Source organism: Homo sapiens, chromosome 7, assembly GCF_000001405.40.
Source record: "Homo sapiens chromosome 7, GRCh38.p14 Primary Assembly".
Classification (NCBI taxonomy): Eukaryota; Metazoa; Chordata; class Mammalia; order Primates; family Hominidae; genus Homo; species Homo sapiens.
Window position 1 is genome coordinate 73,582,357 of NC_000007.14, and position 26,786 is coordinate 73,609,142.

Below are 26,786 nucleotides of genomic sequence, written 5' to 3' on the forward strand. Positions count from 1 at the left end.
CCATAAGCCACTTTCTTCACACCATCTACAGACAAGCTACACTTTTCAAAGTATTTATTTATTTATTTATTTTGAGACAGAGTCTCACTGTGTTGCCCAGGCTGGAATGCAATGGCATGATCTCGGCTCACTGCAACTTCCGCCTCCCGGGCTCAAGTGATCCTTCTGCCTCAATCGATCATCCTGCCTCAGCTCCCAAGTAGCTAGGACTACAGGCATGCACCATCACACCCAGCTAATTTTTGTGTGTGTGTTTTGTAGAGACAAGGTTTCACCATGTTACTCAGGCTGGTCTCGAACTCCTGAACTCAAGTGATCCTCCCGCCTCAACCTCCCAAAGTGCTGGGATTAAAGGCGTGAGCCACCAAGCCTGGCCAAAGATGCACTTTTAAGAAGAATTTCATTTACCAAGCATTTTGCATGTGACATTTATTGATCCAGGAGCATTTTTTTAATAAAGAGAGTCTCACTGTGTCGCCCAGGCTGGAGTGCAGTGGCGCAATCACAGCTGATTGCAGCCTGAAACTCCTGGGCTCAAGCAATCCTCCCACCACATCCTCCCAAGTAGCTGGAACCATAGGTGCTCACCACCACACCCAGCTAATTTTTGAATTTTCTGTAGAGACAGGGTCTTGCTATGTTGCCCAGGCTGGTCTCTAGAACTCCTGGCCTCAAGCAATCCTCCCGCCCTCAACCTCCCAAATTGCTGGGATTACAGGAGTGAGCCACTGCACCTGTTTGATCCAGGAGCTTTGCGTTTCATTTCACTTGCTCACATTCCCTTCTCACAGATGAGGAGACTGATGCTTTAGGAAGTTAAGTGACTTTCCCAAGGTCATACAGGTGGAGAGTGAGCCTGGGGACAAATACATGTCCTGTCTGGCTGCAATCTGTGGATGTGGGGTAAGAGGAAGAAAGAGTAGCCTCTCTTTGTACAGCTCAGTTGAGGCTACCAAATTCTTTCATATCCTTGAATTCAGTTGGCCTTTAAGACAGGCCATGTTATAATTTTAATTTTTAAGCAGATGGAGAGAAACACTAGGCTTACATCAAATAATATGCCCAAGGTCAACAAGGAAGCAAGGGAAATAACCCAGGTCTACTACAGGATCCATACTCGGGCAGGGCACTGTGGCTCACGCCTGTAATCCCAGCACTGTGGGAAGCTGAGGCAGGAGAATCACCTGAGCCCAGGAATTTGAGACCAGCCTGGCCAACAAAGTGAGACCCCATCTCTACAAAGTAAAAAAATTAGGCGTGGTGGTGCATGCCTGTAGTCCCAGCTACTCAGGAGGCTGAGGCAGGAGGATTGCTTGAGCCCAGGAGTTTGAGGCTGCAGTGAGCTGTGATCACACCACTGCACTCCAGCCTGGGCTACAGAGTGAGATCCTGTCTCAAAAAAGAAAAAAAAAAAATCCATGCTCCTCCCAGCAAGCCACTCTGGCTGTGGCGTGGCCTTGCTCTTACTCTCAAGTTTTATGTAGCCCAGTTGGAAGCCAAGACTGATACGTGGAAGGACAACTGAGGACACACAGCGGGACTCAGGAAAGCTGAATGCATCAGGAAGCAGGGGACTTGCCAATGGATCTTGAGGGGCAGTGAGACTTGACTGTAGCTTCAGGGATGGGCATTTAGACAGGTGAAACAGCACGAGGGAGTGCTACATGGAAAGCGAGAACCAGCCGAGGTACGGAGGTGGAAGTAACTGATTCTGACTGGGCACGGTGGCTCATGCCTGTAATCCCAGCACTTTGGGAGGCCGAGGTGGGTGGATCATCTTGAGGTCAGGAGTTCAAGACCAGCCTGACCAATATGGTGAAACCTTGTCTCTACTAAAAATACAAAAATTAGCCAGGCGTGGTGGTACGCGCCTGTAGTCCCAGCTACTCAGGAGACTGAGGTGGGAGAATCACTTGAACCCAGGAGGAAGAGGTTGCAATGAGCCAAGATTGTGCCACTGCACTCCAGCCTGGGCGACAGAACAAGACTCCATCAAAAGAAAAAAAAATAGAAGTAAATAAGGAGACAGGAGGCCAGGCACAGCGACTCATGCCTATAATCGCAGCCTGTGGGAGGCTGAGGCAGGAGGATCACTTGAGGCCAGGAGTTTGAGACCAGCCTGGGCAAAGTAGCAAAACTCCATTTGTATAAAAAAAATTAGCCAGGTGTGGTGGTGCACACCTCTAGTCCCAGCTACTCAGGAGGCTAAGGCAGGAGGAGGATCGCTTGAGTCCAGGAGTTCAAGGCTGTGGGTAAGCTATGATCATGCCACTGCACTCCAGCCAGGCAACAGACCTGTCTCAAAAAAAAGAAAATTGAGAGGCCAAGGCAGGCAGGTCACTTGAGGCAGGAGTTCAAGACCAGCCTGGCCAACATGATGAAACTCTGTCTCTACTAAAAATACAAAAAGTTAGCCAGTCATGGTGGTGCACATCCGTAATCCCAGCTACTCAGGAGGCTGAGGCAGGAGAATCACTTGAACCCGGGAGGTGGAGGTTGCAGTGAGCTGACATTGCATCACTGCACTCCAGCCTGGGTGACAGAGCGAGGCTCTGTCTCCAACAAAAGAAAAAAAAGCAAAAAGAAAAGAAAAAGAGACAGGAATCCCTAAGCTTGCCTCCCTCATGGGTTGATCACACCTTTCAAGAGCAAAGCAAGATGAGTCCCAGGTACCACTGGAGATTGAAGACTTTTAGGGATGTGAGGGGAGGGAGGCTATGGAGAGAAATGAGGCTGGAGGGAAAGCAGGGTTGGATCACAAAGCACCTCGAACACCTGCCCTGAAGCCTGGCCTTGTCAGAGGCAAACAGTAGCCAAAGAAACAACTGAAGCACACGAGCTCCAACTTGTATTGTCTGGAGTCCTCCCTACCTCTGGCCTCTCTACATTAGGTGAAATGGTAACTTTCCACCTTGTTTAAGTAGTGGTTCTCAAAGTGAGGTCCCTGGACCAGCAGCACTAGGAATGCAAATTCTGTTTTTGAGACAGCGTCTCACCCTGTGGCCCAGGCTGGAATGCAGTGGTGCAATCATAGCTCACTGCAGCCTTAAACTCCTGGGCTCAAGTGATCTTCCTGCCTCAGCCTCCTGAGTGGCTGAGACTACAGGCCACCGTACCCAGCCAGGAATGCAGATTCTTAGACTCCATCCCAGACCTGTTACTTGGTCAGAAACTCTGGAGGTGGGGCCCAGCAAGCTGTACTTTTTTTTTTTTTTTTTTTTTTTTGAGACAGTCTTGCTCTGTCGCCCATGATGGAGTATATTGGTGTAATCTCAGCTCACTCCAACCTCCACCTCCTGGGTTCAAGCGATTCTCCTGCCTCAGCCTCCCAAGTAGCTGGGACTACAGGCACACACCACCACACCCAGCTAATTTTTGTATTTTTAGTAGACAGGGTTTCGCCAAGTTGGCCAGGCTGGTCTTGAACCCTTGACCTCAGGTGATCCATCTGCCTCGGCCTCCCAAAGTGTTGGGATTACAGGTGTGAGCCACTTGCCTGGCCCTCTAGCTGATCCTTAACAAGCTCTCTAGTTAATCCTGATGCATGGTACAGTTTAAGAAGCACTGATTTAAACTAATTTGAACCCCTACATGTAATTTGCAGCTCAAAGCCTCTATTACAGTGGTTCTTGACCATGGCTCCATATTGGAATCACTTTGAAGATGCTGATGTCTAAACATCATACTGGCTGGGCATGGTGGCTCACATCTGTAATCCCAGCACTTTGGGAGGCAGAGGTGGGAGGATGGCTTGAGGCCAGATGTTCGAGACCAGCCTGGACAATATAACAAGACAAAAAAAAGTCTGTAGAGTCTCTACGAAAAATTTAAAAATTAGCCAGGCCTGGTGGTGCATGCTTGTGATCCCAGCGTTTGGCAGGGGCTGAAGTGAGAGGATCACTTGAGCCCAGAAGGTTGAGGCTGCAGTGAGCTGCGTTTGCACCACTGCACTCTGGTCTGGGTGACAGGATGAAACCCTGTCTCAAAAAAAAAAAAAAAAAAAAAAGTAAAGCCACCACGTTTATTTTATTTTATTTGTTTTTGAGACAGAGTCTCATCTGTCGCCCAGGCTGGAGTACAGTGGCGTGATCTCGGCTCACTGCAACCTCCGCCTCCCAGATTCAAGCAATTCTTTTGCCTCAGCCTACTGAGTAGCTGGGATTACAGGTGCCCACCACGCCAGGCTAATTTTTTTTTTTTTTTTTAGATGGAGTCTCGCTCTGTCGCCCAGGCTCAAGTGCAGTGGCGCAATCTCAGCTCACTGCAAGCCTGCAAGCTCCGCCTCCCGGGTTCACACCATTCTCCTGCCTCAGCCTCGCGAATAGCTGGAACTACGGGCGCCTGCCACCAAGCCTAGCTAATTTTTTGTATTTTTAGTAGAGACAGGGTTTCACCATGTTTTCCAGGCTGGTCTCGAACTCCTGACCTCAGGTGATCCACCAGCCTTGGCCTCCCAAAGTGCTGGGATTACAGGCGTGAGCCACCATGCCTGGCCCACATTATTAATAATTAATGCATGTTTAAGTTTGAGAAGCTGTTCACTGTAAGGGATACAGGAGGCTAATGCACATGTATGGAAGAGGCGATGTCCTATTGGACCAGGGCGGTGGCTATGAAGGTAGATGTTCAATTGGCCAGGCTTCCGTCCTCAGTGACAGCTAGCGCAGGGCAGCGGGGTGTGTGGAGGAGCTGAAGATGATGGTTTCCAGCTTGCACAAGTGTCCGGGTGGTGGTGCCTGTGCCAGGGCTGGGGCACACTTGGAGGACCAGGTTTGAGTGGGAAGATTATGGAAGTGGTGAGTTCTGTATTGGGATCCGTCAGTGTTAAGGGAGCTGCGGAGCGCTCAGAGGGAGAAGTTAGGGTGATGGTCGGACATGTAGTTGTGTAGCTCTGGGGAGACAGCGAGGCAGATACAGAGTCGGGGTCCTCTGCAGAGAGGCTGAAGGGGATGAGATGGCCTGGGGCTTGCCAGAGAGCAAGAAGGGAATGGCTAAGGAAGGGACAGGCCTAGAAAGAGGCTCACACAGCAGGACCTGGGAGGGCATTGGCAGGGAGGAGGAAAGGAGAGCTTGGCAAGAATTCTGTTTTGTTTTTTGTATTTTTGAGACAGGGTCTCTCTCTGTCGCCCAGGCTGGAGTGCAGTGGCGCAATCATAGCTCACTGCAGCCTCGAACTCCTGGGCTCAGCCTCCCGAGTAGCTGGGGGTACAGGCCCATGTCATAACACCCAGCTAATTTTTTTGTAGAGATGGGGTCTCACTATGTTGCCCAGGCTGGTCTCTAACTCCTGGCCTCAAGCAATCCTCCCGCCTTGGCCTCCCAAAGTGCTGGGATTACAGGCATGAGCCACCGAGCCTGGCCGAGAATTCTGGACTCCCAGGGAAAGAGTGGTTTAAGACGGAGGCCCAAGGGCCGCAGAAAAACCAGAATAGCACTATGAAGCAGGCACTGGATTTCGCAAGGAGCGGGTCAGTCAGAGGTGAGCTCAGTGACAGCAGAGTCAGCGCAGGGGTGAAGCTGGGGTGTGAGGGTGGAGGAGGAGCCCAAACGTGGGGAGCCAAGAGGGGAGAGGGAAGAGAGGAGGGAGAGTGAGCACGTGTAGATGACTCTTTCAAGGGAAGAAGCCATCTGGAAGGGACACGGGGTCAAGGGGATGTTTGATGGGGAACTTCTGGCCGCGTGGGAGTGAAAACAGCAGCGTATACACTGCCTGGACCCTCCCTTGCGGTGAGCCACGGCCAGCCTGTCTGCAGCAGCAAAGAGCATGCGTGAAAGGCTGGGCGCACCTGCCACCGTCACAGCAGAGAAGCGGCCAACGGCAGACGAAGGCAGTTGGGTGGGCACTGCTGGGCTGCTTACCAGCCCAGCAAGCTGAGTCAAGGGACCGAAACTGTCTGTGTCTCAGTTTCTCACCCGTAAAATGGGGATGCTGATAATTATTACAACTCATTCTCATTCTTACATAGTGTTATATATTTATAATATATATTATATATAATGTATATAATTATATAATATATATAAAATATATATAATGCCCTGTAGCTTCCATGCCTCGGTTCCAGCTCTGCCTTCTTCTAACTCTGAATAATAACTATATATTATATATATTATAATATATAATTATATATTATATTATATATTATATTATATATTATATATAATTTATATGATATATATTATAAATTATATATATTATCTATTATATATAATTATATTTATATGTATTTAATACGTATATATAATTATATTGTATATTTATAATATATAATTATATATTACATATTATATATTATACATATATACTATATTATAATTATGTATTTATATCGTAATATATAATTATATTAATTATAATATATAATAAATTATATTATATATTTATAATATATTTATACATTATAAACAAATATGTACTTTATTTGTTAAAGTATATATTATATATAATTTATAGATAAATTAGATATAAATTAAATATAATATATTTAACTTATATATTATATATAATCTATATATTATAAACAATATATTTTATATATTTATATATTTATATTTATTATATATTTATATTATAAATGTATTTATATTATAAATACATTTATAATATAAATATAAAATACATTTATAATATAAATACATTTATAATATAAATATAAAATACATTTATAATATAAATATAAAATACATTTATATTATAAATATAAAATACATTTATATTATAAATATAAAATACATTTATATTATAAATATAAAATACATTTATATTATAAATATAAAATACATTTATATTATAAATATAAAATACATTTATATTATAAATATAAAATACATTTATATTTATTAATATAAAAATAAAATATATTTATATTTAATATAAAAATAAAATATATTTATATTTAATATAAAAATAAAATATATTTATATTTAATATAAAAATAAAATATATTTATATTTATTATAAAAATAAAATATATTTATATTTATTAATATAAAAATAAAATATATTTATATTTATTAATATAAAAATAAAATATATTTATGTTTATTGATATAAATATAAATATATTTATATAGTTTTATTGATATAAATATAAAATATATTTATATAGTTTTATTGATATAAATATAAAATATATTTATATAGTTTTATTAATATAAATATAAAATATATTTATATAGTTTTATTAATATAAATATAAAAATATATTTATATGGTTTTATAAATATAAAAATATATTTTTATAAAATGTAATATATTTATATATTATAAATATAAAACTATATAGTTATAAAATGTAATATATTTATATATTATAAATATAAAACTATATATTTATAATATATAAAGATTATATATAATATATAAAGTATATTGTATATAAAGATTTATATAATATATAAAGTATATTGTATATAAATATTATATATAATATATAAAGTATATTGTATATAAAGATTGTATAGGTTATACAAATTGTAATATATAAATTAATGTAATATTATATATTATATATAAAGATTATATAGATATGGCTGGGCGCAGTGGCTCACGCCTGTAATCCCAACACTTTGGGAGGCCAAGGCAGACGGATCACGAGGTCAGGAGATCGAGACCATCCTGGCTAACACGGTGAAACTCCGTCTGTACTAAAAATACAAAAAATTAGCCAGGCGTGGTCGTGGGCAACTGTAGTCCCAGCTACTGGAAGGCTAATGCAGAAGAATGGTGTGAACCCGGGAGGCGGAGCTTGCAGTGAGGTGAGATCCCGCCACTGCACTCGAGCCTGGGTGACAGAGCGAGACGCCGTCTCAAAAAAAAAAAAAAAGATTATATAGATATATAGATTAACATATAATTATTTAATCTTTATTCTCTATATAAAAATTTATATATAATCTATATCTTTATATGTAGAATATATATTAACTCATACATATTTTATATAAACTATAAATATAATATAATATATAAAAATATATTAAATATAATGTATAAATATAATCTTTGTATATTATTAAACATAATATACAAACATAATATATATATAATATATAATTATTATCCCCATTTTACAGATTTATAAATATATGTATAAATCTGTAAATCTCTATATGTGTATATTTACCCTTTTAGGTTCTCACAGCAAGCCTACGAGGTAGGTGTTGTGAGGATTAAGTGAGTTAATATACATAAAGTGGCCAGGTGTGGTGGTTCATGCCTGTAATCTCAGCACTTTGGGAGGCCAAGGCAGGAGGATCCCTTGAGCTTGGGAGCTGAAGACCAGCCTGGGGAACTTAGTGAGAACTTGTCTCTACTAAAAATAAAAATAACAACAACAACAAAAATCTAAAGTGCTTATAGGAGTGCTTGGCACATAGTCCATACTAGATCTGCGGGCAGCGATTCTCCTTCTTCTTATGCACGAACGAGAGAAACTGAAAACCTATGGAAGATACTTTAGGCTGTTTAAATCCTGCAAATGGGCCAGGCACGGTGGCTGCCACCTGTAATCCCAGCACTTCAGGAAGCCTAAGGCCAAGGTGGGAGGATCACTTGCGGTAGGGAGTGTGAGACCAGCCTGGGCAACATAGCAAGACCCTGTCTCTATGAAAAATAAACATGAATACATCAGTCCTGCAAATGTCTCCAGAAGGTCTGAAACGTGAGAGGATTCCAACATGCCAGGCTGGAATGTCAGCTCCACAAAGAGAGAGATACTGTAGTGAACAGCATCTGCAGAGCCAAGACCACAGCCTAGTCCATAGCAGGCACTCAGTAAATATTGGGGCCTCTGAGGCCTTCTACCCCAGCCCCATCTGAAGGATCAGTTTTTTTATTTTTTGTTTTTATGTTTTTTTGAGATGAAGTCTCACTCTGTCACCCAGGCTGGAGTGGAGTAGCGCAATCTCTGCTCACTGCAACCTCCACCTCCTGGGTTCAAGGGATTCTCCTGCCTCAGCCTCCCGAGTAGCTGGGTTACAGGCACCTGCCACCATGCCCGGCTAATTTTTTTTGTATTTTTAGTAGAGACGGGATTTCACCAAGTTGGCCAGGCTGGTCCGGAACTCCTGACCTCAGGTGATCTACCCGCCTCGGCCTCCCAAAGTGTTGGGTGGCGTGAGCAACCGCACAGGCCGCTGTCAGTTTTTTCTAAGACATCCCAACTAAGTGGCCATCCACTCTCTGCATGCATACCTCTCATAGCGGGGAGGTCACTACCCTCCATACCTGCCCCGCCAAGGGAGCACATTCTCCTTCTGGGTGGTTCCAGTGGATGCCCTGTCGGTTCCACTCCTTGGTCCCAGCTCTGCCTTCTTCCAACTCTGAAGGTAGCGAGCCTCTCCAAACTGTCTCCTGGCCATGGAGGGAGGAGCTCCAGGAAGCAAATCTATCACCTCTCACCTGGATGACTGCAACTGTCCTCTAACTGGTCTCCCTGCATCCACCTAGTCTCAACTCAGCACCCAGGGGATTCCTGTAAAAAAGTTACATCTGGCCAGACGCCATGGCTCATGCCTGTAATCCTGGCACTTTGGGAGGCCAAGGCGGGAGCATTGCTTGAACCCAAAAGTTCAAGACCAGCCTGAGTAGCTGGGATTACAGGCGTGTGTCAGCACATGTGGCTAATTTTTGTATTTTTAGTAAAGACCGGGTTTTGCCATATTAGCCAGGCTGGTCTCGAACTCCTGACCTTGTGATCCGCCTGCCTCGGCCTCCCAAAGTGCTGGGATTACAGGCGTGAGCCACCACACCCGGCTGCTGACTCTATTCTTATAAGAAAAATTTTTTTGTCTGGGCGCGGCAGCCTCACACCTGTAATCCCAGCACTTTGGGAGGCTGAGGAGGGCAGATCACAAGGTCGGGAGTTCAAGACCAGCCTGACCAACATGGTGAAACCCCGTCTCTACTAAAAATACAAAAATTAGCTGGGCATGGTGGTGCGCACCTGTAATCCCTGCTACTCAGGAGGCTGAGGCAGGAGAATCGCTTGAACCCGGGAGGCGAAGGTTGCAGTGAGCCGAGATTGCGCCACTGCACTCCAGCCTGGGCAACAGAGCGAGACTCTGTCTCAAAAAAAAAAAAATTTTTTTTTTTAAAGTTACATCTGGCAGGGCGCGGTGGCTCACGCCTGTAATCCCAGCACTTTGGGAGGCTGAGGTGGGTGGATCACAATCGTGGTCAGGAGATCGAGACCATCCTGGCTAACACGGTGAAACCCCGTCTCTACTAAAAATACAAAAAAAAAAAAAATCAGCTGGACGTGGTGGCGGGTGCCTGTAGTCCCAGCTACTTGGGAGGCTGAAGCAGGAGAATGGCATGAACCCAGGAGGCAGAGCTTGCAGTGAGCCGAGATCGGGCCACTGCACTCCAGCCTGGGTGACAGTGCGAGACTCCGTCTCAAAAAAAAAAAGTTACATCCGATTTTCTTTTATTTATTTTTCTCTTTTTTATTACTGAGATGAGGTCTATGATCCTCCCGCCTTGGCCTCCCAAAGTGCTGGGATTACTGGTGTGAGCCACTGTGCCCAGCCTTTTTTGTTGTTGTTATTTGAGACAGGGTCTCACTCTGTTGCCCACTCTACAGTGCAGTGGTGCTATCATAGCTCACTGCAGCCTCGAACTCCTGGGCTCAAGCGATCCTCCTGCCTCAGCCTCCTGAGTAGCTGGGACTACAGGCGCTCGCCACCACTACATCTGATCTTGTCCCACCTCCACTCAAAGCCCTCCAGCTGCTTCCAGCTCAGAGTAAATGCCCAGGCCCTCTGCAAAGCCACTTCCCACTGCCAACAGGCTCTCTCTCCATCCCAGTGTGAGACACTGACCAGCACACCAACAAACCAGCAGACAGTTTTTGCTTTTATTGGTCAAGAATTCTTTACAAAACCCACACACACACATCCACACACACACACACACATGATGCCTGCCCTGCTGTGGTCACTCTGGCCCTGGTGTCTCCTGGGATCAGGCCCTCCTGGCCTCTCCCAGGGGAAACCATCCTGCAGCCCCTCTGGGTCAGCAGTGAAGGAGCAGAGAGAGGGAACCTCCTTTTCTGCTTCTCTGCTCAGGAACAGAGGTCTGTGCCCCACCTGTCGGGGAGCAAGTGGAGGTGACAGAGAAACAGCATCCTCCTCTTTCCACCGTTGAGCCCCCGGAGTTGCCAGCCTAGGCCCCCAATGTCACAGCTGCCAAGGCCTGGGGGTCATCTGCTGATTGAACCTTCCCCATCCCCATTTTGCAGATTGAAACACAGCGGTCCAAAGACAGCGGACGAGTCACCCAAGGTCACGGTGCTGGAGCACAGTGGCAGAGCAGGGACGGGGACTCTGCTCTTCTTGACCTCCAGGAGGTGGCAAGTGTGAAACCTGGACCCTGCTCCACCCCCCAGGGAAGGGCAGAGCCAGGGCCTGGGGCAGGAAGGGAGTGCCCAGAGATGATCCCTGGAGCCCGTGCCCAGGGAAAGCAGCCCCCAGGGCAGCTGAGTGAGCAGCAGGGTCTGGCCAGGACTATAAAGGTTTGCCAAGGGTGCCCTCTGTGACTGCCCGTGTGGCTTGCTCAGGGATGCGGCCCGGGTCGGTCAGGATACTGGTAGATGTGCCCAGCTGGCGTAGGGAGTTCAGGACAGCTGGGTGGGAGACAGAGAGAGAGAGACAGACACTTCCTGGGGTCAGGGCCCTACCCTTGGATGTGGAACCAAAGGGATAGGGGGAGGTATTAGTTGGCAAGACTGTCACCCCCTCCTAGAACCTCTGTCTACAGGCGTCTGGTGGCCAGAGGACCATCTGGGGGATGCGGGGTGGCCACAACCCTAGGCTGTGTTGATGGCAAGCTGGATGTGGGATCTAAGCAGGGTGGAATGCTCCCTCCACCCCCGAGGCTGGGTCCCTCTAGCAGGCAGGGAGATGGCTCACGTACTTGGCCGGAGAGCGGGCAGAGAGCAGTACTGGTCCAGCCAGGCCAGTGAGGTCTGGCGGAGGGTGTGCACACTTGCCGTGGACACCATCCCGTTGAAGGACTCAAACAGAGGCCGGATGAGGATGCTGAACTGGGCCCAGGTCAAGGAGCTGCCTGTGGTCCAGCTGGTCCCCCCACACCACGTGGAGCCCTGATGCCCAGTTCAAACCAGGGGAAGAAAGGGCCTGGACACTGTCTAACGTTGAACCCCAATGACTCATGTTGCAGCCCCTACTTCTTCTTTTTTTTTTTTTGAGACGGAGTCTCGCTCTGTCACCCAGGCTGAAGTGCAGTGGCACGATCTCAGCTCACTGCAACTTCTGCCTCCCAGGTTCAAGCAATTCTCCTGCCTCAGCCTCCTGAGTAGCTGGGATTACAGGTGTGCGCCACCACACCTGGCTAATTTTTGTATTTTTAGTAGAGACGGGGTTTCGCTATGTTGGTCAGGCTGGTCTCGAACTCCTGACCTCGTGATCCACCCACCTCAGCCTCCTAAAGTGCTGGAATTACAGGCGTGAGCCACTGTGCTCGGACTTTTTTTTTTTTTTTTTTTGACAGAGTCTCACTCTGCTGCCCAGGCTGGAATGCAGTGGCACAATCTTGGCTCACTGCAACCTCCACCTCCCAGGTTCAAGCTGTTCTCCTGCCTCAGCCTCCCGAGTAGTTGGGATTACAGGCACATGCCACCACGCTTGGCTAATTTTTGTATTTTTAGTAGAGATGGGGTTTTGCCATGTTGGCCAGTCTGGTCTTGAACTCCTGGCCTCAAGTGATCCACCTGCCTCGGCCTCCCAAAGTGCTGGGATGACAGGCGTGAGCCACCGCACCTGGCTTGCAGTCCCTACTTCTGTCCTGCCAAGACCTTCCCAGCTCTCTGCCTCTCAGTCCCCTCCTCCTTGCCCCTCCACGGCCCTTACTGTGTGCTGAACCATCCCCCATCCCTGAGCTCCCTGCCTGGGCTCAGTCAAGAACTTGACCCCTGAGCCAGATCAGGGAGTGGATTCCAAGTCTTCTGTAGTCCTCACTCCAGAGTTCAGATTCTCCCAAACTGCCCTCGGGGCTTCCTGAGGTCAGGGCCAAGGCTCCCCTTACCCAAGGACTCCTCCCTCAGTTTCCCTCTCTGCTCCCAGCCCCCCATCCCTGGGCAATTTTGCTGGCCAAGATGGCCAGGGCATGGAAGCAGGGGGCAGAGCCAGAGCCTGTCACCTGGGAGCAGCTCTGAGCCTGCCCGGCCTGGAGAGCTAGGCCTCCATCCCAGGCCCAGCCTGGTCTCACCCTGCCACAGCCCCTGCAGCCCCCCAGCCATGGGCTTGAGGGAGGATACCACCCAGAACTTCCAGTTGTGCAGCGTACGGGTTCGGACGTAGTCATCAAACATGTCTCGCATCTGGTCAAAACGCTGGTGTGTGATGGGTACCCCTGTGGCGGGCAGCTGCTGCTGGCACAGGCTGGGGGCAGGGCAGGGGTCAGGGGCTGGGGGTAAGGCGGCATGGCCCCCTGGTCCCAGCACCCGCCTGGACCCTGCCTACTTAATGGCGGCATTGAGCTCCTCAATCTCATCCCGCAGCTGCTGGGCCTCCTCCTGCAAGCCCGCACGCTCCTGCTGTAGCATAAGGATGTACTCAGCTGTCTTCTGCAGCGTGGTAGCTTTGCTCACCTGCAGACGCCACCAGGGGGGCTCAGGCAGGTGCTAGAGGCTGTACCCTGGGACCCACTGAGGCACTGGGATGGGAGGAGGCAAGAGTGTCTGGAGCACTCCCCTGCAATTGAGTTTTGGGTGGGGGGGGTCCAGAAAGGGGCCCTGTGGTTTTGGGGGTGCCAGCCTGGGCCCGGGGCTCACCTTGAGGCTGGGCTGGGCACTGAGTGTGCTCACGAGCCCATGAAGGGTGTCAAACCCCAGCTTGATGTTGAAGCGCCGCTTCTGCTCCGCGGAGATGTGTGTGATACGCCGGTTCTCGGTCTCGGGGAGCAGAGAGTTGGGTGAGCCTAGGAAGGAGCCCAGGAGGGCCTGGGGGTAGCAAACCGATCTTGGGGTGGGGGATGGTGCCCACCTTGTTGCTGTCTGGACGGCCCCGGCTGAGGATGGGTTGCGGGGGAGAGACACGGACGCTCAGAGTCCCAGGGCCTGGCATGGAGCTGAGGTCCCCTGACAGCCGCCGTTCACTGCCTGTGGTAGGGACAGACAGACCCACAGAAAGACCGACCCAGGGGAAAGGGTCCCCATTGCCCCCTTCCTCTCATCTGGCCCCAGACCCAGTCCCCTTCTTCTTCCTCCTCTTCCCCTCATCCCCTAGATTCCCCCAATCCCTGCAACCCCTCTCTTTACCGCTGGGCGCTGGGGGTGAGAGCCGCTCCGCTTTGGGGACAAGCAGGGGCCTGGAAGGGGCCAATGTGGCCGGGCCTGGAGGTGGCCGGGGCGGTGTAGGGGCCGGGGTCGGGGGAAGGAATGTGCAGGGGAATTCAGGGACTGTCTCCTGCTGGGGTGGAGAAGGGCGGAGAGTCGGGTTGAAGGCCGTGGGCACAGCCCCACCGCCCAGTGCCCGAGATCTTACCGGGGACCCTGGGGACCGGAGGAGGGTGCTGGATACAAGTGGTGGCTCCAGGGCTTGCTCCGGCTTAGCTGTGCACGGGCAGAACCGTGAGGCTACTGGGGCTGGCCCACCCCCGGCATCTATCAAGACCCCATCCTGCCCCTCCCAAGAGTCCACACCCCTTTTAGGTACAGGCCCCACATCCCTCATTCCTTGCCACTCTGTCCCTTGAACTGGACCTGCCCCTTCACCTTCATCTTCTGCTCCCAAAACCCCCTGTCCTCCCCACCCCCTGGCCTCCCTCCCCAGGCTTTCCTCTCCCCGTTGCTGGCCCTCACCTGCTGTGAGCAGCTGTGTGAGGCAGGGGTTGTTGCTCCCCGCAGTGGTGGGGGGACTGGCAGTGGCAGGGGCTAAGGTAGGGGGGCTGGCTTTCTGTCCCCTAGGGGATGGGGCGGGGGGCTTGCCTCTGGGCATGGAGAAGCAAGGCCCAAAGGCAGGCTCCGAATACCCCAAGGGTAGAAGCTCTATGGGGAAGGGGGTGGGGGCTGGGCTGGGGACAGACTGTGGGGTGGGTGGGAAGGCTGCAGGAGCAGGCAGCGGAGACACTCCTGGGGCAGGAGGGACGGTGGGGAAGGGAAACCTGGGAGAGAAGAGAGGCTCTTCCTGCAGCAAAGCAGTGGGTGGTGCCATGGGAGGGAAGGGAGGTGGGGGGCAGGGCTCCAGGCCTGGCACCTTGGCAGGGGGAGGGTAATGCAGCAGAGGTGGGGGTACAGGAGGGGGTGGGAGCCGGGGCTTGGGGTCTTCAGGAAGGAGGAAATCAGAACTCAGGAAGGCGCTGGAGTCCAAGGGGCCAGGGCAGCTGTTCCGAGCCTGGTTGGGGGGACAGACAGACACTCAGAGAGCAGGGGAGAGAGCTGCCCCTGGCAGCCATCTGGGCCTCCCCTGCCCTGCCTTGCCCTGGCCAAACTCTAGACTGGGGCCCTGGGGAGAGATAGGAGAAATGAGCCCTGCCTTCCAACACACACAGGTGTGCGAACATATACATGCAGCAGGGAAATTACAATGAGAGGAGGGAGTCGAGTACATTTATGCAAAAAGCAGGAACAGCGGAGCATCAATCTTCCTGCCCGTCCATTTGTCTCCCAAATAACTTATTCATCCATCCATCCACTAACTTGTCCACCAATCCATCCACCAACCAACTCACCCATCCATTCATCATCCATCCATCCACTAACTTGTCCACTGATCCATCCACCAACCAACCTACCATTCCTTCATCATCCATCCACTAACTTCACCAATCCATCCACTAACCAACCCACCCATCCATTCATCAATTGTCCATCTACTACTTCATCCACCAATCTCTCCATCCATCCGTCTTCCATCCATTCACCTACCTATTTATCAATCTATGAACCAGCTCATCTACCACTCTCTCCACCAGCCTACCAGATATTAACATATTAACTAATCCATCCAACCATCTATACTTCCATCATTCATCCACCAACCCATCCATAATCCTTCCATCCATCCACCATCTATACATTTCCAGCCACTTAACCACCAATGAACCCATTCACTAATCCATTAAACTATTCATCTATGTATCCATCCACCAGCCCACCCATCCACCCAACCACTCACCTACCCATATATCCACCAACCCACGTGTGCCTCCACCGCAGTCTAAGATGCATCTATCCATTCACCAGCACGCCCATTCATCTGCACACTTGCTCATTCATTCAGTCACTGACTCACTCATTGGACAACCATTCACTGAGTGCTGTTATGTGCCTGAGCTGTATTAGGTATAGAGAATGCAGTGGTGAGCAAAACATAACCCTTTCAGTAAGGAGCTCACTGTCTGATGGAGGAGAGACACCCCTCAGCAACCGATTAGAATTAGCACCTGAAAAGTCTGATGATGGAGGGAAAAGGCCTATAACCAAGCAGCAGGAAGCAACTTCTGAACTGCACCTGGGGGCCAGGTGTGGTGGCTCACACCTGTAATCCCACCACCTTGGGAGGCCGAGGCGGGCGGACTACTGAGGTCAGGAGTTTGAGACCAGCCTGGGCAACATGGTGAAACCCTGTCTCTACTAAAAATACAAAAATAAGCCGGAAATCGCTTGAACACGGGAGGCGGAGGTTACAGTGAGCCGAGATCATGCCACTGCACTCGAGCCTAGGCGACAGAGTGAGACTCTGTCTCAAAGAAAAAAAAAAAAAAGAATTGCATATGGGGAATTGATGAACCAAAATGGTAGATTCACTGTTTCCTAAACATCCACGCTCAGCTTTCTGCCTCGAAGCTTTTGTTCCTGCTGTTCTCCCATCTGGCTTGAGGTCAGCCAGTCCCTTCTGTCCAAAGCTGACCTATTCTCTAAGGCCCAGAAACTCCCCTTCTCCAGGAAGCCTTCCACAAGCAACTGGCCCTTGGTGGAGCCCATTCCATGGTCTCCATGCCCTTAGCTTTCTCCCACAACCGTTTTGTCCAGTTCTGCTTCACGGGGTCCCTCCCAGAGGGCAGAGATGGGGTCTTTCTTTCCCTCCAATCTCCAAGCAGAAGACTGGGCACTCAGGGAGTGTCTGATACCTCCTGGACATGAACAGGGCAGGAACAGCTCTCAAGTGAGCTACACAGGGCTGGACGGGGTGGGGTGAGCTCACCTGCAGACGGCTGTGTCCAGAGAGGTGGGTCATGGCCGAGGAAGCCGGGGGCACCTCTGGGCCCAGGGTCCCACTGCTGAAGAGGGAGTCAACCACGGGGCTGAAGCTGGGGGGCTCTGGGAAGTTTGAAGGCATGGGCGGCTGTGGGAGGCGGGAGTTGGTAAAGAAATCTGTAATTCAGACACACAGGGCAACAGCAGTTAGGGCCAGGGCTATGGCTGGGAAACAGCTGAGAGGAGAGTGGCCTGTCCCCAGCCTTGGCGGGTGGGGACATGGGGACTGGCGGGCAGAGGGTGGGGGTCCCTTCCACAGAAGATTGTGAAACTGGGAGGGTTTCTGTCTCGATTAGGGGAAGCAGCAACCGTCTTGGGTGGAATGAGCTTGCGTGGGAGAGAGCAGGGGACTGTGGATGTGAACAGGGACCCCAGGAAGGAGCCCCCTCCCCTCCCCAGCCCCAGGCTTAGCTCAGGAAGTCCCCCTCCCCACCCCCTGGTGGCTCCCCTTCCCTGATCTGCTGGAGGTGCAGAAAGGGGGTGCCCAGAGCGAGTGCCAGGGTGGAAAAGGGGTACGGTGCTAGGGGAGGAGGCCTGGCATGGGAGGGGCCCCAGGGTGGCAGAAGTTCAAGAGGGTGAGTTGGAGATGAGGGGGAACGTGAGGTCACTGGGTCCGGGACAAGCTTGGTTTGTTGGAAGGTCAACAGGTGGAGCCTAGGAGTGGGGTGAAGAGTGTAATGGGGCGAGAGGGGCCTAAGGCTGGGCTCCGAGTGGGGTGGGGGCGAGAGGGGCCTAAGGGTGGGCTCTGAGTGGTGTGTGGGCAAGAGGGAGATATGGGTGGGCTCTGAGTGGGATGGGGGTGAGGGGGGTGCCTAAGGCTGGGCTCCAAGTGGGGTGTGGGCAAGAGGGGCTAAGGGTGGGCTCTGAGTGGGGTGGGGGCGAGAGGGGCCTAAGGGTGGGTTCTGAGTGGGGTGTGGGCAAGAGGGGGATACGGGTGGGCTCCAAGTGGGGGGGGGGTGAAGGGGGACCTAAGACTGGGCTCCAAGTGGGGTGGGGGCAAGAGGGGCTAAGGGTGGGCTCCAAGTAGGGTGGGGATGAGAGGGGGCCTAAGGGTGGGCTCCGAGTGGGGTGGGGGCGAGAGGGGCCTAAGGCTGGGCTCCGAAAGGGGTGGGGGCGAGAGGGGCCCTAAGGGTGGGCTCTGAGTGGGGTGGGGGCGAGAGGGGCCTAAGGGTGGGCTCTGAGTGGGGTGGGGCAAGGGGTCTGGGAAGCCTGCGAGAGCTGGGGGAGGCAGTAGCGGATTGTTTGGGGTGCGGGTTGTGTAAGTCCTGGGCTATTCTGGTTTTGGGAAGCAGCTGGCCACGGCCTGACCACATCCCGGGCCTGGGCGCCGCCCGCCCACCCGCTCCCTTCCGGGCACCTTTCTCTGACCCTGACCAGCCTGTGATCCGTGCCAGCTCCTGAGGCCTCTTAGTCTGGGCAGTTCCGACCCCACCGTGACAACTCCCCACAGACCTGGGTGGGCCCCAGCTCCCAGTTTTTTCCCTCCCACCCCCCTGCCAGGAGAGCTGCTCAAGTCTGCCTCCCAGGAGCCACCTCCAAGGAGACCAGGAGTCAGTTAGATAAGGTCACCCCAAACCCAGAACCCACTGCAGGGTCAAGTGTGTGTGTGTGTGTGTGTGTGTGTGTGTGTGTGTGTGTTTGTGTCTTCACCCCCAACCCCATCCCCCAGAGATAGAATCGTGCTATGTTGCCCAGGCTGGTCTCAAACTTCTGGCCTCAAGCCATCCTCCTGCCTCAGCCTCCTAAAGTGCTGGGATTATAATGAGCTTGCGTGGGAGACAGCAGGGGACTGTGGGTGTGAACAGGAACCCCAGGAAGCAGTCCCCTCCCCTGCACAGCACCAGGCTTAGCTCAGGAAGTCCCCCTTCCCATCCCCTGGTGGCTCCCTTTCCCTGATCTGCTGGTACAGAAAGGAGGTGCCCAGAGAGAATGCCAGGGTGGGAAAGGGGTGCAGGGCGAGGGGAGGAAGTTAGCCACCGTGCCTTGCTGTCACCCAGGTTGGAATGCGGTGGCACCATCTCGGCTCACTGCAACCTCCACCTCCTGGGTTCAAACGATTCTCATGCCTCGGCTTCCCGAGTAGCTGGGATTACAGGCATGCACCACCACACTCAGCTAATTTTTGTATTTTTTAGCAAAAATGGGGTTTTGCCATGTTGCCCGGGCTGGTCTCAAACTCCTGAGCTCAAGCGATCCTCCTGCTTTGGCCTCCTAAAGTGCTGGGATGACAGGAGTGAGTCACCGCGCCCGGCCCTGTGTGTCGTCAGTGGCTTTGCTTTGCAGGAGGGTGCAGAGCCTGTGTGTTGCAGTCGCTGAACCCTGGAGTCTCAGCATGGGGTCTGCACGCAGCCTCTGCCTACCCTCTGGGTGTCTGTCGCTCCGTCTGAGGCCATGTGAACCTGTCCTGCCATGATAGCATGGTGCACGTGCGTCTGCTCTGTGCCTGTCCGCGTGTCTAACCTCATGGCAAAACGGTGTCTTCTTGCTGTCCACCTGCCTGCCTGCCTGCCTGCCTGCCTTCCTGCCTGCCTGCCTGCCTGCCTGCCTGCCTGCCTTCCTTCCTTCCTTCCTTCCTTCCTTCCTTCCTTTCTTTCCCTCTCTCTCTTTCTTTCATCTCTCTCTCTCTCTTTCTCTCTTTCTTTCTTTTTTTTTTTTTGAGATGGAGTCTCGCTCTGTAGCCCAGGCTGGGGTACAGTGGCACGATCTCGGCTCACTGCAGCCTCCCAGGTTCAAACAATTCTCCTTGCCTCAGCCTCCTGAGTAGCTGGGATTACAGGCCCCCCTGCTGCCTTTCTTTAAAAGGGGGACCAGGCCAGGCGCGGTGGCTCACGCCTGTAATCCCAGCACTTTGAGAGGCTGAGGTGGACGGATCACCTGAGGTCAGGAGTTCGAGACCAGCCTGGCCAATGAGGGGAAACCCCGTTTCTACTAAAAAAAAAAAAAATACAAAAATTAGTCAGGCGTGGTGGCGGGCGCCTGTAGTCCCAGCTATTCTGGAGGCTGAGACAGGAGAATTGCTTGAACCCGGGAGGTGGGGGTTGCAGTGAGCCAAGATGATGCCACTGCACTCCAGCCTGGGCAACAGAGCAAGATTCCATCTCAAAAAAAGGGGGACCAGGTGGGAGATGGCGAGTGGTCACTGCTGCTCCCCCATCTCCCAGGGTCCACAGTTCCTGTCACTAGGTCCCCGAGGCCCTGGCTCTAGAATCAGCCTCATGCTGTGCCTGGCCCCAGGCCGCTGAGGGCCTAGGGCTCCTCCCTGCTCACAGCTGCTGCCCACTCCCTGGGTCCCGGGCAGGGGTCATGGGGCCGCAAGGCCCTCTCATCCCTGAGTCACCAGCCACCCGCTTACCATCGTTGCCCAGGCCTGTCCCCACCCTGCCTTGAGAGAAGTTGCTTCCCAGCCCGAGCTGCTCACCAGGGCCCAAGTCCCTCCCTAGCCTCTGTCCCCTCCACGGACCTGACCTGTCATCCCCTCCCTGAGCTCCTCTGCCTCTGGCTGCCTCCCTGAGCACCCCTCACTAAGCCTCCTGCCTCCATAGAGTTCTGGTCCCCTCCCTGGGTTTCCAGCCAGACCTCCCCAGTGGGAGGCTCTTGGGGGCAACGAGAGCTGCCGTCTTGGTGGTACCAGTGCGCTCTGCCCTCTGGGTACACGGAATGTTTGATAAGAGAGGGCCACACGAGCCACCTCCTCTGTGTGGCCCACACTTTTTCCCCCATGCGCCAGCAGCCACCCGGGCTTGCCAGACATCGCCTCCTAGCCCCAGTCCCTGCTGGTCTTGCCCAGACCCCAGGTGGGGGTGGCTGGGCTCCTACCTGTGGCCGGGCGCTGTGTGCCCAGACAGGGCCGCTGCCCTCCCAGGCTGGCCTGCTCCCAGGGCACTGCCATGCACACTTCTGCCCCTGGGCAGCCCCCACCCCCTCCCGGGACTGGAACAGGGGTGGGGGTGGTTCCTCATTCCCTAGTTCCCGCCCCATAGGCCTCCACCTCTTGATTGACAGGCCCAGGACCCCGTGGGGAAGGAATTAGGAGGTCACTAAGACTAAGCTTTATCCCAGGGACCCTCTTTCTGTCCCCAGGGGCTTCGATGAGACGGGCTGAGCCTGGATATCTACCTGGCCCGCACATAGCTCCGGGGGTCCCTAAATGTGTGGCTATCGGGAATAACCTGCAAGACCTACAGCGAAGTGAGGAAGGCCACTTGGAAAGTCAATTGTGAAAACAGAGACATTTGTCCACATGTGCTTCTACTGACAGGAGCATCTCTGGGAGGACACTGAGGAATCAGTAACTTGGTGGCCCTGTGGTCAGGAGAGGGAGGCAGGGACACTCATGACTTACAAAAATTGCTTTAGGCCAGACGCGGTAGCTCACACCCGTAATCCCAGCACTTTGGGAGTCCGAGGTGGGAGGATCGCTTGAGGTCAGGAGTTCAAAACCAGCCTGGCCAACATGGCAAAACCCCGTCTCTACTAAAAATACAAAAAGTAGCTGGGTGTGGTGGCACATGCCTGTAATCCCAGCTACTCAGGAGGCTGAGGCACAAGAATCGCTTGAACCTGGGAGGCGGAAGCTGCAGTGAGCTGAGATGGACTCACTGCATTCCAACCTGGGTGACAGAGTGAGACTCCGTCTCAAAAAAAAAAAAAAAAAAAAAAAAAAAAGCTTTACAAGATATGATGCATGCCTGGGATTTTCTTTAAAATAACGCACTGGGCACGGTGGCACACACCTGTAATCCCAGCACTTTGGGAGGCTGAGGTGGGAGGATCTCTTGAGCCCAGGAGTTCTAGACCAGCCTGGGCAATACAGGGAGGCCCTGTCTCTTCAAAACATAAAAAAAATTAGCCAGGCATAATGGTGCGTGCCTGTGGTCCCAGCTACTCGGGAGGCTGAGGTGGGAGGATCACTTGAGCCTGGGAGGTTGAGGCTGCAGTGAGCTGTGATTGTGCCACTGTACTCCAGCCTGGGCAACAGAATGAGACCCTGTCTCAAAAATAAATTAAATTAAAATAAAATAAAATAGAAACATAACAGAAGAGAAGGAATGTTCTCGGATAAAAGACTGGCCAAGAGTTGATAAGTCGGTGACATCAGTGATGGTGACTTGGGAGGTTTTTGCTGAGCTACTCTTTCTCTACTAGTGTGTGCATGTTTGAAATGTTCTCTAGTAAATAGTTTTATTTTTTATTTTAATTTTTTTGAGACAGAGTCTTGCTCTGTCACCCAGGCTGGAGTGCAGTGGCGCGATCTCGGCTCACTGCAACCTCTGCCTCTCAGGTTCAAGCAATTCTCCCACCTCAGCCTCCTGAGTAGCTGGGATCACAGGTGCCTGCCACCACGCCCAGCTAATTTTGGTACTTCTAGTAGAGATGGGGTTTCACCATATTGGTCAGGTTGGTCTCGAACTCCTGACGTCAGGTGATCTGCCTGACTCGGCCTCCCAAAAGTGCTGGGATTACAGGTGTGAGCCACCATGCCCAGCCTAGCAAATAGTTTTAAAATGCATTGTGTGAAAAATAAATAGACCCAAATAATTCAAAGTTCTTCTCTCCCCTGAGAGAGTCCCAGCCTTCACTGCTTTCTTGGGAGCCCCTGGTTCCCTGGCCAGGTACTCTCTTGGGCCCTGCCCCCATTGGAGGCCACACCAGCTGGACAAAAGGAGACCAGGAAGAACCCTCAGAAACCACCCAGACCTGCCAGGCATGGTGGCTCATGCCTGTAATCCCAGCACTTTGGGAGGCCAAGGCAAGAGGATGGCTTGAGCTCAGGAGTTTGGGACCAGTCTGGGCAACATGGTGAAACCCATCTCTACCAAAAATACAAAAAAAATTAGCCGGGTTTGGTGGTGCACACCTGTAGTCCCAGCTACTCAGGAGGCTGAGGCGGGAGGATCACTTGAGTCTGGAGGGCAGAGGTTGGCACCACTGCACTGCAACCTTGGTGACAGAGTGAGATGCCATCTCAAAATAAATAAATAAATAAAAAGACAGAAAAAAAGAAACGACCCAGACTATCAGCCCTCCCAGAGGGGCCTGGGATGGGCTCATCGGCCTTCCTCACACAGACCCTGCCCGTCCACCCGACCTGGGGAGGGGCTCGCCCCACCTGAGATGTCCATGAAGTCATCCAGGCTTGGCTGCAGTGGCGTCAGGTCCGGCTGGATCATGTCAGCATTGCCGACGTAGGCTGGAGGCAGCAGTGGCGACATCAGCAGCAGCAGGCAGGGAGGAGCAGGGTCCCCACCCCCATCCCCAGCCATCCCTCCCTTGGCCTCCTGGAATCTCACAGGCCTTCACCCCTCTCCCCTGCCCTTTCTCAGACCCTCACCATCCTCAGGCGGCAGCTGCAGGGGCGAAGGGCCGGACTGAGTCATGGTGAAGAGAGTGTCTGAGATGTCGGACAAAAAGCAATTGAGGTCCAGGAGCTGCCGCCCACCCGGCTCCTCCTCTGGGTCCCCCAGCAGCACGGGGACCACACTGGAGAAGAGCTGTTTGCACCATTGCTCCGGCGGCGGCCACCTGCCTTCCGCCTAGGGAGACAGAGCCGTCAGCAGCCGCTAGAGAGCTCCCACTGCCCCGATCTTCCATATCACCCCTCTCCAGGGTCAAGTGGTCAGCAGGACAGAGGGTCTGTCTGTTCACACCTCTGTCACCTTTCCCTAGTGGACCTAGCTTGCTGCTTGAAAGGCCAAGATCACTCCATTGGCCTCTAAGAACTTCCCCCAGGAGATAGACCAGGATGCAGATACAGGGGTCCCCTTCCTGCTCTTTAGATTTTTTCCTGTCTGGGACCCCAGTTCTTTGGTCCCTCTGGTTTTTTTTTTTGTTTGTTTTCTTTTTCTTTTTCTTTTTTTTTTTTTTGGAGACGGAGTCTCACTCTGTTGCCCAGGCTGGAGTGCAGTGGCGCAATCTCAGCTCACTGCAACCTCCACCTCCCAGGTTCAAGCGATTCTCCTGTCTCAGCCTCCTGAGTAGCTGGGATTGCAGGCATGCGCCACTATGCCCGGCTAATTTTTGTATTTTTAGTAGAGACGGGGTTTCACCATGTTGGCCAGGCTGGTCTCGAACTCCTGACCTCAGATGACCCACCCGCCTCGGCCTCCCAAAGTGCTGGGATGACAGGCGTGAGCCACCACGCCCGGCCTGGTCCCTCTGTTCTCCCATGCCTCCCACCACTTGCTCAATGACCTGGGGTCTTCTCACCACCTCACCCTCACCCCCCAAGAAGAGAAGAGCTCAACAAATGAACCACAGGATGGCAGTAACATCCCACATTCCACCCTCATGCCCAGCCACTGTCTTGCCCACTGAGGCGGAAACTGTCAACTCTGCCTCCCATCTACTTGGGGGGCAAAGGGATGCCCTTGCCTGCTGGACTTACAGAGCACCCACCTGCTTAGGGGCCAGGAGGTCATCTTCCCTGCTGGGCTTACGGAGCTGCAGGGACACACAGAGTTGGACACCGGATCCCTTGCCCCATCCTCCATCACTTTCCCCCCAAAGTCTCCTCTACTCACAAGCGATGAGATCCCCCATTTCCCATCAGGAGCTCACCCGACCCCTAGGTAAGGAGGCCGCTAGGAGACGCTGTGGCCACACGGTGGCGCTGTCGGCCCGGGACTGAATGGAGGGCCCGAGGGGCGCAAGCTCGGGGGTCAGGATCCCCTTTCCAGGGATCTTCCGAGGCGGGCGGTAGCCGGCAGCCGCAGGAGGAAAGCTCTGGGGCCTCCCTGGCCCTCCCCCACTGACCCGCTTCTTGTAGTAGATGCGCCACTTGTGGTATTCCCGCATCACCACCTCGATGCGCCGCTTCCAGTAGTTCCCCTCCAGGACCACGGCCTGGGGTAGGGGCCGGGGGAGGGGGATCAGTAGAGAGGGGAGCACCGCACACCCATCTCCCACCCTTCACCCCATCCCTGTCTGCTCAGCGCAAGGCTACAGGAGGCAGGGGCTGGTCTTGGTGGGTGGGCAGGTGGGCAGGTGGGCAGGCGGTCCAGAACCCAGCTACCTCCGGCTTCCGGTGCGCATCAGCCTCAGGCCCCTGCAGGGGGGTCACGAAGCCACACACGGGGCTCTTCCTCCGCTTCACATCTGAGAGAAGGGGGCCAGGTCAGGGGCACCCAGCTTCCTCATCCCCCACCTCACCCCAGGGGACTGGGACTCAAGTGACACCCTGCGAAATCCTGCTTGGCCTTTGACGTTCAGATTAAGTGCCCATGCTGCCTCCTCCAGGAAGTCTTCTCGGATGATGCTCTAGCCTCCTAGATCTTCCTTTTTTTTTTTTTTTTTTTGGAGATAGGGTTTCACTCTTGTTGCCCAGGCTGGAGTGCAATGGCGTGATCTTGGCTCACTGCAACCTCCACCTCCTGGGTTCAAGCGATTCTCCTGCCTCAGCCTCCTGAGTAGCTGGGATTACAGGCGCCCACGACCAGGCCCAGCTAATTTTTGTGTTTTTAGTAGAGACGGGGTTTCACCATGTTGGCCAGGCTGGTCTCGAACTGCTGACCTCAGGTGATCCACCTGCCTCGGGCTTCCAAAGTGCTGGGATTACAGGCTTGAGCCACCTCACCCAGCCTGATCTTCCTCTACAGGGCACTGTGAATCCAACCTCCCACACCTTCTCTGGGTTCCTCTGGAGCCCCATAGGTACACTTGCAAAGACTGCTGAATGGATTGTGGGGCCATAGGCCACAGAGAGTGAGCTGCCTCCAGAAAGTCCTGGTTAGGGCTGGGTGCGGTGGCTCACACCTGTAATCCCAGCACTTTGGGAGGCCTAGGTGGGTGAATAACGAGGCCAGGAGATCAAGACCAGCCTGCCAACATGGTGAAACCCCGTCTCCACTAAAAATACAAAAATTAGCCGAGCATGGCGGCACATGCCTATAGTCCCAGCTCCTTGGGAGGCTGAGGCAGGAGAATCGCTTGAACCTGGGAGGTGGAGGTTGCAGTGAGATCACGCCACTGCATTCCAGCCTGGTGACAGAGCAAGAATCCATCTCAAAGAAAAAAAAAAAAGAAAAAAAGAAAGTCCTGGTTAGACTGGCAGGCCAGGGGCCTAGAGCCTTGGGTCCTCTGCCTCAGAAGGCTAGGCACTACCCACTTTCATTGCAGAGAACCACCCTTGGTTCACTTCTGACCACCAACATGTGTCCTCTTCCAGGCCTCCACCTCCCCTCCCAGTCTCTAATTCTGACCTCTCCCCAGGCTCTTGCCCTTGGCCCCAACACACACTCCAGGCTCTTTTTTGTTTTTGTTGTTGTTTTGAAACAGGTTCTTGCTCTGTTGCCCAGGCCAGAGTGCAGTGGCGCAATCATAGCTCACTGAAGCCTTGACCTCCTGGGCTCAAGCGATCCTCCCGCCTCAGCCTCTGGTGTACGCCACCATGTCTGGCTAATTTTTAAATTTTTTGTAGAGACAGGGTCTCCCTGTGTTGCCCAGGCTGGTCTCGAACTCCTGAGGTCAAGGAATCCTCTTGTCTTGGCCTCCCAAGGTGTTGGGATTACAGGCGTGAGCCACTGTGCCTGGCCTCTTCCTTTTTATTACTGTTATTTTTAATTTTTT

The 26,786-nt window shown here is 52.1% G+C and overlaps 1 protein-coding gene across 16 annotated transcripts in view, besides 7 other annotated features; it reads right to left on the minus strand.

The window, feature by feature from the left end:
• Positions 5,214–5,714: an enhancer, noted in NCBI's record as "H3K4me1 hESC enhancer chr7:73001900-73002400 (GRCh37/hg19 assembly coordinates)". NCBI's record gives its function as "activates a minimal SCP1, AML or CMV promoter by ChIP-STARR-seq in naive H9 embryonic stem cells {active_cell/tissue: H9 hESC(naive)}" and the evidence as "EXISTENCE:reporter gene assay evidence [ECO:0000049][PMID:30033119]".
• Positions 5,715–6,215: an enhancer, noted in NCBI's record as "H3K4me1 hESC enhancer chr7:73002401-73002901 (GRCh37/hg19 assembly coordinates)". NCBI's record gives its function as "activates a minimal SCP1, AML or CMV promoter by ChIP-STARR-seq in naive H9 embryonic stem cells {active_cell/tissue: H9 hESC(naive)}" and the evidence as "EXISTENCE:reporter gene assay evidence [ECO:0000049][PMID:30033119]".
• MLXIPL (MLX interacting protein like) overlaps positions 10,846–26,786 on the minus strand; it is a 54,706-nt gene continuing 38,765 nt past the window's right edge. For 2 of the 16 annotated variants that reach the window (XM_047420437.1, NM_032951.3), the window contains exons 3-17: positions 25,234–25,316; positions 24,975–25,064; positions 24,618–24,662; positions 23,554–23,755; positions 23,332–23,412; positions 17,170–17,339; positions 14,826–15,357; positions 14,509–14,576; positions 14,283–14,433; positions 14,008–14,123; positions 13,797–13,916; positions 13,486–13,613; positions 13,281–13,404; positions 11,918–12,047; positions 10,846–11,627 (exon numbers count right to left, since the gene is read on the minus strand). In XM_047420437.1, coding sequence (XP_047276393.1) covers positions 11,509–11,627; positions 11,918–12,047; positions 13,281–13,404; positions 13,486–13,613; positions 13,797–13,916; positions 14,008–14,123; positions 14,283–14,433; positions 14,509–14,576; positions 14,826–15,357; positions 17,170–17,339; positions 23,332–23,412; positions 23,554–23,755; positions 24,618–24,662; positions 24,975–25,016 — 2,028 coding nt within the window. In that variant the 5' untranslated portion in view covers positions 25,017–25,064; positions 25,234–25,316 and the 3' untranslated portion in view covers positions 10,846–11,508. Of the gene's footprint in view, positions 11,628–11,917; positions 12,048–13,280; positions 13,405–13,485; positions 13,614–13,796; positions 13,917–14,007; positions 14,124–14,282; positions 14,434–14,508; positions 14,577–14,825; positions 15,358–17,169; positions 17,340–23,331; positions 23,413–23,553; positions 23,756–24,617; positions 24,663–24,779; positions 25,065–25,233; positions 25,317–26,786 lie in introns of those variants that run through there. The other 14 variants (XM_011516277.2, XM_047420436.1, XM_047420435.1 and 11 more) reach the window with 13 other exon arrangements.
• Positions 19,483–19,777: a silencer, noted in NCBI's record as "tiled region #5103; HepG2 Repressive non-DNase unmatched - State 18:Pol2, and K562 Repressive DNase matched - State 8:EnhW". NCBI's record gives its function as "represses a minimal TATA promoter and a strong SV40 promoter by Sharpr-MPRA in HepG2 and K562 cells {active_cell/tissue: HepG2 | K562}" and the evidence as "EXISTENCE:reporter gene assay evidence [ECO:0000049][PMID:27701403]".
• Positions 20,474–21,010: an enhancer, noted in NCBI's record as "H3K27ac-H3K4me1 hESC enhancer chr7:73017160-73017696 (GRCh37/hg19 assembly coordinates)". NCBI's record gives its function as "activates a minimal SCP1, AML or CMV promoter by ChIP-STARR-seq in primed H9 embryonic stem cells {active_cell/tissue: H9 hESC(primed)}" and the evidence as "EXISTENCE:reporter gene assay evidence [ECO:0000049][PMID:30033119]".
• Positions 20,503–20,797: an enhancer, noted in NCBI's record as "tiled region #11638; HepG2 Activating DNase matched - State 18:Pol2". NCBI's record gives its function as "activates a minimal TATA promoter and a strong SV40 promoter by Sharpr-MPRA in HepG2 cells {active_cell/tissue: HepG2}" and the evidence as "EXISTENCE:reporter gene assay evidence [ECO:0000049][PMID:27701403]".
• Positions 20,503–20,797: a silencer, noted in NCBI's record as "tiled region #11638; K562 Repressive non-DNase unmatched - State 14:Gen5'". NCBI's record gives its function as "represses a minimal TATA promoter and a strong SV40 promoter by Sharpr-MPRA in K562 cells {active_cell/tissue: K562}" and the evidence as "EXISTENCE:reporter gene assay evidence [ECO:0000049][PMID:27701403]".
• Positions 25,183–25,766: an enhancer, noted in NCBI's record as "H3K4me1 hESC enhancer chr7:73021869-73022452 (GRCh37/hg19 assembly coordinates)". NCBI's record gives its function as "activates a minimal SCP1, AML or CMV promoter by ChIP-STARR-seq in naive H9 embryonic stem cells {active_cell/tissue: H9 hESC(naive)}" and the evidence as "EXISTENCE:reporter gene assay evidence [ECO:0000049][PMID:30033119]".